The following is a 10733-nucleotide window of genomic DNA, read 5'->3' as shown; positions in this document are numbered from 1 at the left end:
GAACACTATCCTAAGTGAAGTACAATGGTTACTAAATTAGATGACATCTGGATCTGGCTGATCTTGAACAAGCAGGTTAATCATATAACTTAGCTAGGTCATTGTGAAATTTTCTCCTGTGTAGAAAGAGATATTAATAGTAACTACTGTGGCAGATGGCATTTTCCATAAATGCCTACAAAATACTTTCCATCTCAGCTGCTCTTCAGAAATGACCTTGCCATTCCTCCATCAACAGATGAAATCTAATTCCCCTTCTTTTGCATCTGGGCTGGCCTCAGGGACTTACTTGGGCATTGGAATGTGGCAAAAGTGATGGTCTGGGACTTCCAAGGCTAGTTCATACAAGCTAAGTCATTCTGTGTGAGTCTTTTGGGATGTTCCCTCTTCCAACCCAGCCACCATACTGTGAGAAGCCTGAACACTTGGAAAGCCATGTGTAGGTGCTCTGGCTAACAGTCCCAGCCAACAGCAAGCATCAACTGCCCACCGAGTGAGCTCTCCTGACATCCAGCACCTTTGGGCCTTCTGAAGACTGCAGCACCAGCCCACATCTGGGACCCCAAAAAGAATGGGAATAAACTGAGCCCAGTTAGTATACAAACCAAGACAGATAATAATAAATGGTTGTTTTAAGCCATTAAGTTATGGAGTGGTTTGTTATGCAGCAATAGAAACTAAATCACTAGCTCCTAGGGTTATGTGAAATCAAGGAAGACAATGCATGCAAACTGATTACTAATGTGCTTCGTAAATAATTAATACGGTTGCAGAAAAAAGTAAGCTGATTATATGGGGAGATAAAACATGGGCACAAATAACTGCAAAACTAAGCAGGCATCATCTGAATCAATATTTAGTGGGCACCTATCCCATGCCAGACTGTCTACATAATCATAGAATCTCCAAGTAGAACAGAATTTGGGAGCTATTCTAGTTCAACCTCCCACTTAGTGAGGACATTTCTTCTTGAATGCTTGTTTAATACAACTATTATTTATTAAGCCTCGCTCCGCACCAGAAAGTGTGGTAGATGGTAATGTCAGGAAGTGGGATAGAAAGATAACTAAGACACAGCCCAGGGCCAGAGGCAAACACATGAAGAGTTTCTGCTCAGTGTCATATGTGCAGGGAGAGAGGATACGAAGAAGACAGATGCATTTCCCCTGCATGGAATGGGGTGAGTCATCTCACTATCGGCCAGCTCTGCTGATTCAGCTTCCTGGTGCTCTGGATTCTGCTGATATATTTTCTGTGCATCAACTTGTATTCTGAGTGGCAGTTCTCCAGCTCTTTGCCTTCTTGCTCCATATACCTAAGTTGGCTGTTTACACATCCACTTACCCATCTTTGCTCAAAGCTGACCCTTGTCAAGGAAGGAGGGGTTTGCCTGGATCTTGAACACCAGCCTGTGGGCTCTTTAAGGCCAATGCCTGGATCTTGTTCATCATTGAGGCCCCAGCTCCTAGAGGCACCAAAATAAAACAAAACAAAAGAGAGAGAGAGAAGAAGAAGAAAACAGCCACCAAAAAAATGCATTTCTTTTTGTGTGGGTTCAGAAAAATGCCAGAGATTCATTTAATTCAAATTTATTTCACACAACTACATCAGGGAAAATTAGCAGTGTAATCTGCTTTCTCAAGTTTCATGAGCAACGCTAAGTTTTTAATAGGCTGAGTGTTTAATAGGCAAGTAAAATCAGCCAACAAACAAACAAACAAAAAAACGCTGGAGTTCGAGTCCTTTACAGCCAAGTAGTTGGCAGCTGCTACGGTTATTAGCTATCATAGTTTCCCACATGCAGCCATGTTTTATGGCTTCTTAAAATTGTTTTTAAAAATGTTTCACAAACCATGGGTTTCACACAAATATAAGGGTTAGAATTTCAATTTTAAAAAATAAACATAAGTTTGGTGTCACATCAGAGAAAGCTCTAGTTTTCTCCTTTTAAGAAACAGAGGAGGTAACTCACCAGAGCAGAGGAGTCATCTGAATTGGGCCCTTTATTCTCAGCCTAACCTGCTGAGGAGCGTCATCTACAACTCACAAGGTACTGGGAGCAGGAGAATTTGCATGGATAGACAAAAGTTTGCTTCATTGCTCAGTTTCCCTTTAATCATTTCTCCTCTTTATTCTCCTCTTTCTTATTTGAAACTTATTCCTTGTTTGTATTAATGTTTCTCTGCAGGGCTGTAACTGTAGTTTATTACAAAACAGTAGAGTACAGGGCTCTTTCATTTAGCAGCTTAGTATAGTTTTTGTTGCAACAGTGTATTCATATCATGGGGTGGGGGGTAGAATCTATTTAATCAACTCTGGGGACAGTACAGGCCCCTATACAAAATCACCAAAACTTCCCTATGGAGAAAAAGATGGGAAATTAGAAGAAAAAATAAAGCTTGAGGGGGAAAAGGGTAGAGCTTTTCATTTGGAAAAAGAGGAGGAATGGGGAGTTGAGAATCAGTGTGTACTCTTGGGTCACTGGGTGCAACCTAAGAGGCTGGGGTGAATCCAGAAGCTGCTGGACCCCTGGGACCTGGGGGCAAATTGCAATGGTTGGTGGGTGAACTTCTGGGCCTGGATATGAAAATCAGCAATGAAAGGCAAACACTAGAAATTGGTAGTAGACCCCGGAAGTTGGTGGTGGATTCCTGGTGCCAGGATTAGAACCAGAGAGCTGCAGACACAACAGAGTAAGAGTAGCTCAGGGCTCTGAGGGTGTAGGACCACATGTGAGGGTGGCGGCAAAAATGTAAGGCAGTGATGGCCAAGGAGGAAAACTATTTCTCAGTAGGAGTGGAGCCTCTTCATGCCAGGAGGTCTGGTGGTGGTGCCACCCTCTTGAAGTGGAAGTGGAGAGAAACTGTTCCAGTGTGTTTGAAACTTGCCTGGTCAGCTTCTCTGCTCAACACCCTGAAGGTGATGGTCTTGTGAGACTCATTGCATGTCAACGGTACTTTTGGCACCTGTCCAGGAACTTTTAATACTGTCTCTAAGCAGAAATGAAGCAATGGCAGGGCATGATGCCCCTGTCAACCTCTAAACAGTCAATCTGGAAGAGGAGGAGGCTCTGCCATTCGCCTCCAAATTTCTCTGCTTAGTCATTTTATAGCCCAAAGAGATTCTTCTTCATCTCCATCTTGTCCGGCATTGGCTGGGATGTATTCCTTTTGGCTTATCTTTGACCAATTTTGTTTGCTTTTTTCCTTGAGTATGTGTTACGTAACTCACCTTCTTGCTATAAACTTGCATTTTTTGAACCCAAGTTATTGCTCATAAAATGTGGGATCTTGTTGATGTCAGTGGTCTTTACAGCCAACTGCCAGAGATGCTGTCTGAGCTGCTGATTGCTGTCTAAGGAAGAGAACACTCCCCAGTTCTGGTCTTGCCTCTACCCGCTTATTAATGCTAGAAGTACAAATTAAGGGGCTTTGCACTTTTTCTAATAAATATGGATATGTTCAGCTACAGAAAGAAAAGTAAAATAGAGAAAAACTCTAAGCAGAATAAACTCTAGATGTCCTCAGGGTACTGAAAAACCAGTGTTTCCTCTATATTAGAATAGCTGAGAAGTTCATGGTGCCCCTAATTAGAATTTCCAGCCCCAAATCCTCCTAGGACCAAAGTTGGTGCCCAACAAGTTGCTGCTGATCTGGGTAAGCCCTGATTGTTAGTCAAGATAGATGTAGCAGCTGAAGGTCCATCCCCCATGCTCATACGTTCAGTCACAACAGTGACTGTCTTCTTGCTTGCACGCCTGCAAATTGCCTTGGGTCAAACACACTGGATCTGTTCTCTCCATCCTTGCGGTGTCCCAGCCAGATATTGAATCCGTTGGAAGGAGGTGCCAGACCACTGCAGTGAGTCCTCACTTTCTTATCTCTGATCTCCTTAGGCTAATTCTTCTCAATCAATTTGGCCATGGGATTCCTCTCTCCTGTCCTCTGAGCATTCAGTGCAAGTGTTCATCCACACAGCCATCCAGGGGCTTCGGCACCTCCATACTCTATTGTTCTGGCTGGCTCTGTGCCAGCCCCTTTCCCCACTGGGGGGACTCCTCATCTTCTCTGCATTTCTCCTTTGGTCTAAATAATCCAGTTTAAAGTTACTAAAATATGGCTTTGGCATTTGGAATTCAACTTCAAACTCTGTGGTTTCTTTGGCTCACCTAAGCTCCTAAGGTTTTCACTGCATGTCAGTTTGGGCCCAGGAAAGCAAGTACTTAGCCTTATCTGCAGGAACTTGACCCATCTGGAGCAGGGTCAGATTGGAATCAGAAGAGCTGCTCCCCCGTCTCCAGAATCAGAGCTCCTTGGCCAAGGTCTATTCCACAGAGAGACGGATCTGAGTCAGAGGACTTCCTGTACCCACTCTGGTGGTAAGGAGATCCAGAGTGTGACTTCTAGACAAAGAGCTTATCTGAAGTTTGCTATGGCTGGGGAAAGAGGCTTGGAAGGCATGCTACTTCTTACTTTCAGAATGGGATTTTGTTTGCTTTTTTTTCATGGTGGAGAGAGGTCTGAATTGTATTTCTATTTGCTGCTTTTTGGAACAAATGAGAGGTTCCTGGCTCTTCCAATGTGGAAAAGACTTGCTGGAGGCTCTTTTTCATATCTTGCTCATTTTTATTCTGGGTAGAAAGTGATAGATATTGGAAGCCAACCTGGAAAATCATGGAAGGTCCTGCTGGATGGAGATGTCTCTGCTGGAGAGTTAAGATAGGTCTTCCTGAGGGAGGGAGGGGGGAATAGATCTGGGAAGTCATGATTATTTCTCCAGCAAGAGATGCACCTGGAGAGTGCCGATGTGCTCTCCTACTTTGCACTGCTTCTAAGGAGTCAATAGCCCTCCTAGACTGATGGGTCTGGAGGTTCATAGTGGATGCTCTTCAGGGCAGACAGGTCTGAGTAGTTTTGCTGATCACTCCTAGGATGCGAAGGATCTTGGAAATCATGACAGCATTCCTAGGGAGAGATGAATCCATGGAGTCATGGCAAGAATGCCTGTGGAAGGACAGGCCTTCCTTCTTGCTTCCATGTCCTTGGTCCAAAAGGGCTCCGTCTGTGTCCCCACCCATCTCATATCCACAGGAAAATTTCCATCATCATCTTCTTCATTTTCCAGTTTAGTGGTGAAGACAGATCATACCATGGTCCACGCACATGATGGTCCACAACCTCCATCCTCCTGCCACTGGCCCTGCCATGCTTGCTACTGAATCTGAAGCACTCATCAGTACCAGTGACAAGTGACATGTCAGAAGTGTGATGACTGAGAGTGGCAGAGTAGCTACTAGAGCAACAGCATGTCAGGCTCTGTGACTTAGTGGGGCAGGGAGGAGAAACCACATTAACAGGTGCACCCTGTTTCTCAGGTCCCAGATCAGCGCTCTGAGGAAAACATAGCAGGGAGAGGTCCACTCAGGGCCTCACAACTTTGGGAAACTCCTTATTCAGGTCCTAAGGGGATTCGTCTATTTTTTGCAAGCAATTCATGTAATGGAATTAAGCTTAGTCATGTCCACAGTGTTTATGCCCATCCAGCTAAGCCTGACTCGATCTGGGGAAATGCCCAAGCAGTTGATGATGCTACTCACTCAAGGGAAAGGGTATTCGTGTGATGAAGATTAAAAATAAAATAGTTTTCAGGGGTAAGGCCTGCTAAAACACAATCTAGACAGAGCCCGAGAGCTTCTTCACTGATCAGTTCCATTTTCATTATATTCAAAACGCCATCTCCCTCAGTGGTGATGGACGTAGTTTCCCACTATTTAATAGTTGATTTTTTCTGTGCTCTTCTCACATGATCAACCTGAGCCAAGCAAGGAAAATTGCTTTTCCTCTTCCTTGTGAAGAAAGCAATGTCATGTCCTTACATAATGTTAGCATTTGGAGACAACATCTACACAGCATCTAATTTCTCAAAGTGAGTAACTTTACGAGTCTTCTATAAATGTACTGCAGAGAGATGTGTGTTGGTGATTAGATCACCTCCCCTGTCTTCTTTGTCCAACCCACGGCTTGGAGTTGGAGCCCTGAGTGGAGCTGTGTGGAACTCTTCTCCAAGGAATAATACAGCTCAAGGGGCTGTGGGATGTGAGCACTTTTGACAGTATCAGAAATCTGCAGCTGGACATCACAGCCTGCCTCCACAGCCTGCCAGTAGAGTTAGGAAGGAGGGTGGTGACTGCCAACAACACCAATGGCATCATAGCAGCTATTACAGAAGCATTTTTCCTATATCCTCTCCCTTCTCACCACACAATGCAGTAGCTGGTACTAAATGAATCATTCTCCAGGGCCACATTGCTCTGGGAATGTAGAAGAAAAGAAGCTAGAAGGCAAGGACACTTGAAAGACTGATCAAACAGAGGGACAACTTGATCACGAGTTCCTCAAGGATGGGTTCCTCATCTGACTCAATCTCATCTCCACTGACCAACGTACTGGAAGATCAATGGATGGTTTCTGGGAAGTTGGTTAAACAGACCGAGGATGACGGGAGCAAAGAGAGCTGCAGGAGGCAGTTCAGGCTGCCAGTAGACCCAGAGTCCTTGATCCTTCTCAAAGGAACATTGGACATTAACCAGGATCAGCCTGAGCAAGAGAGAGTGCAGGTTTCCTGTCTGTACCATTTTGCTGTCAAACTGGCAGGGCTATGAGACTCCCTGGGCATGCCCCTTAGAGGGGATCCAGCTCCAGCAGCTTGTGATCAGCATTGCTCGATCTTTGTTTTCCTGAAAGAGACTCTCCACAGTCCTATGAAATCAAACCTCTCAAATGGGGGCTGGAATTACTCAGGGAAGCCAGGAGTTGAGCACTGAAATGGTATTTCAGGCCAGGGAGTGCAACAGATAAGACACCCCCATTCTACAACCTCACCTCTAGTCAGAGTGGCTGAATGCATTTATAAATCTGAATTCTTTCTTAAAGATAAGTTTTTTTGTAGCAACTTCGCATTTTCCCTTCTCAAAATGAGAACTCATATTTTGAAACCCTTTGCCCATGAAATTATTTTTCTGACAATAAAAATACATATAAAGAAAGGATGTCACATGGGAAAGATTGCATTCCTAATCTGCCTTTCTATAAACTCATTCTCTTCAAAAAGATAAACTGTGACTTTATATAACAACAACACAATGGTGAAAGCATTCTTCTTAGGCATTTTTGTGAGCTCTATGTATATATTAAGGACATTAGTTCTTTGTCTACCATATTATTTGCTTATCAGTCTTCTAACCTCCCCAGCCACAGTATGTAGGCATTTGGTACAAGCACTGTAGTAGCAGGTACATGACTATGTTTTTGGTCTACTCTTTGTGCCTAATATACAGGCTGGTGGGCATGAAGGTTCAACAAATGAATATTAACCACAAACTCTACAAGGCAGATCACCCTAGGTTCTGCAACCTACCTGATAACCCTACTCTTATTTCACTAGGTTTGTTTTTAGAAGCTAAGGAAAAACATCTGCATGGAAAACTCAATCATAAACACCCTCTGTCATATTCAGATAGCACAGAAAATTCTAGAACAAAGCACCTGTCTCCTAGCAGAGCTTTGCCTGCTTTGAGATTGAGAATACCTGCAAAAAGCACCTAAGTCATTTATTAAAATACTGAGCTGAGAGTCATTCCCTTGTAGGAGAAGGCTCATTTGGTTATTGCTGTGGGTTCTGGAGCAGGACTTTGGTATGTCAAGACCCAAGTCCAGTTACTGGCTGTGTGACTCTGGACAAGGTAGTTAACCTCTCTAAGCCTCAGTGCCCTCCTCTGTAAGCTCAGAAAAAAATAGATGTACAATTTATTACAGTGTCTAGACCTAAGTGTACAATTCTTTGTAGATATCCTTATCATCATGATTATGATATTACTCAAGTCATGGAAACAGCAAGTCCAGTTTCTGGAGACTGCAATGATGTCATTCCTCACACCCACTCAGACTCCAGGAGGCTCATCCAGTTTCCCACCAAGTGAGTCTATGCCTTTACTGCTCCCTTCTATAAAACACTAGGATAATCATGGTACATAATAATGCCTTTGTGTTTATAGGGCATGATCACATTCATTTTCTCATTTGATCCCCACAATAACCCTGTTATGGTAAACAAGGAAGATTATGTTATCTCTATTTTAGAAGTGAGGAAATAAAGGGAAAACGAGCTTAAGTGACTAGCTTAACTTACTAAGAAGTGGAGTAGAATTTGTAACAAGATCTTTCTCGCTGTGTCTCAGGGTGGAGTAGAAAGACCATTTACCAAAAGGGGCAGCCCCCTATTGGTCAAGTTTTGCTGCCATCACTGGGACCACCAGAGTGGGGAGCATTTCTCCTCCACATTTCAGGATTCGGGATCTGCAGTTTGCTGCCTTTAAGCAGCTGATGTCAGTGTCTTATCCTGCCCAAGGTATACCGACAGGTGTTATTAGGAGATGTCTGCCTGGAGCAAGTCACACTATTTCTACACATACACACTGACATCTTTATATAGTTTACATATCATTGACATGCTCACCAGAGGAAGCTTTGAAGGGAAAATGGAGTCTCAAGAGGGCATTAAGCCAGCTGGAGTAGATGGATAGATGGCAGGGATGGAGGGGGCTCATGCTCTGTGAAAGGCCAAGTAGCTCCATCTTCTAGAGGCCAGGTCTGAGCCTTGAACACTGAGGTGATTGACTGGAGCACTTTGCATGCATGAGCAGCAGCTCTTGTGTGGGTGATCCCCTTTTGCTCTAGTTAAAAAGTGCGGGAGGTTTCTCCCAAACTACCTGGCCCAGGGCAGTTATAATGATCTAAAATCACAGAACCAACCCTGGCTGTACAATAGAATCATAGGTGATGTTTTTAATATTTACAGATGCCAAGGCCCCACCTAAACCAATTAAATCAGAATCTTTGTGACTGAGAGCTAGGCATCAGTATTGTTGTTTACAGTTGTATTGAGGTATAATTGATATACAATAAACTGCACATATTTAACAATCAATTTGATGCACAGTGACATAAATATACATCCTGACTCTTCACTATAATCAAGATAATGAACATATACAATATCTCATAAAGTTTCCTCATGCCCTTTGTAATCTTTCCCCTACTTCCCCATCCCATCACCAAGAAAACAGATCTGCTTTTTGTCACTATAGATTAATTTACATTTCTAGAATTTTTTACAAATGGAATCATATCATATGTTGTCTTTCGTCTGGCTTCTTTAACTCAGCATAATTTTTTTGAGATTTACCCATGTGGTTATATATGTCAGTTCCTTTTTATTGGTAAATAGCATTCATTTATGGTTATACCATAGTTTATTCAACTGATGCTGGACATTTGGTTTTTTTTTTCCCGGTTGTGGACTGTTACAAATAAAGTTGCTCCGAACATGCACATTGCATGGTATGTCTTTGTATTGATGTATGTTGTCTTTTCTCTTGGATCAATACCTAGGAGTGGAAAGCCTGAATCATATGGTGGACGTAAGTTTATCATTTTAAGATACTTCTAAACAGCTTTCCAAAGTGGTTGTGCCACTTTACATTTCCACTAATATTAAATGAGAGCTCCGTTGCTGCACATCCTCGCCATCCTTGCATGGGTCTACTTTATACTATATAGTGAGTACAGTTGATCTCATTGTGATTTTAAGTTGAATTTCTGTAATGACTAATGGGGTTGAGCATCTTTTCATGTACTTTTTGCTATTTGTATATCTTCTTTATTGAAGCTTATTTTAAAACCACTAGAGATGGGACCCTAACATTAGTTAAAAAAATCAATAAAACCTCCCCGGCAATTCTAACGTGCAATCAGGATTAAGCATCATTGTCTCACTAGAAAACTGAGTGCAAACCTCTCATTTTAATCACACGGAAACTGGGAGATTAAGGTTATTTGTATAGCAAGAAAAATTTCAAGACAGTAAAATCACTCCTAAAATAGTTGTGGACATTACAGAGCGAGTTCTCCACTGCAGACCTAACTATATTATTTGCATAAGTCAGACAAGTTTTACTATTGTCTCTGGTAAGACTTAGTGATATAATTAACTGAATTATTTGTTCCAATCTGATCATTTATCATTTTACTTAGTCACGAGTACTTGTTCTACAATAAATTTTGAAGGAAGTGCATTATTTCAACTAACTTTGTGACAGTATTATGACTATGGTGAAATGGAAGGGAAAATAGCCTCAGGGCTTCCACATATAGTATTGACTACACAACCCTAGAGGGCTCCCTTCACATAGCAGATATGAAACCTCTGCATAACTTACAACCGTGTGCAGGGGACTGAACAGCCTTCATCTCTAAAATCTAGGTTCTGGGTCTCACCTTCTAATTGTGTGACCATAGGAAAGTCAGTTGAATCTCTGAATCTTGGTTTAAAATAAAATGGGAATAATCAGTGTTCACAGAATAGATGTGAATGACGTGAGATCACATCGGGGATCAGCAAACCCAAAAGGCTACAGGAGCCAGGTAAGTAAGTTAAATGAGCAAAGTGGATCAGGTCAGAGAGGCAATAGAGACACCATGGAGACTATGACAAACTGTAGGATGCTGGCCCTGTCTACTCAGCTGTAGCTTGTTATGGCCTTGAGGAAATGCTGGCCATAGCTTCTGTTTTTAAGAGAAACCAAACACATCTGTGGTTCTGATGCAGTCCACTGATAAACATGAAAGAGCTTTGCAAGTTAAAAGCCACCTAATAAATTGAAAGGGCATCATTAT

General features: G+C 42.5%; 1 pseudogene, besides 1 other annotated feature; it reads right to left on the bottom strand.

Moving 5' to 3' along the window:
* Nucleotides 888–1518: a transcriptional cis regulatory region, noted in NCBI's record as "candidate enhancer chr11.4868 targeted for multiplex CRISPR interference". NCBI's record gives its function as "positively regulates ENDOD1 gene expression in K562 cells {active_cell/tissue: K562}" and the evidence as "EXISTENCE:mutant phenotype evidence [ECO:0000015][PMID:30612741]".
* On the bottom strand, nt 3730–4841 carry BUD13P1 (BUD13 homolog pseudogene 1; annotated as a pseudogene).

The sequence above is a fragment of the Homo sapiens genome, chromosome 11, assembly GCF_000001405.40.
Source record: "Homo sapiens chromosome 11, GRCh38.p14 Primary Assembly".
NCBI lineage: Eukaryota > Metazoa > Chordata > Mammalia > Primates > Hominidae > Homo > Homo sapiens.
The sequence above is the reverse complement of the archived record's forward strand: the minus strand, read 5'-3'. Positions and strand labels throughout refer to the sequence as shown.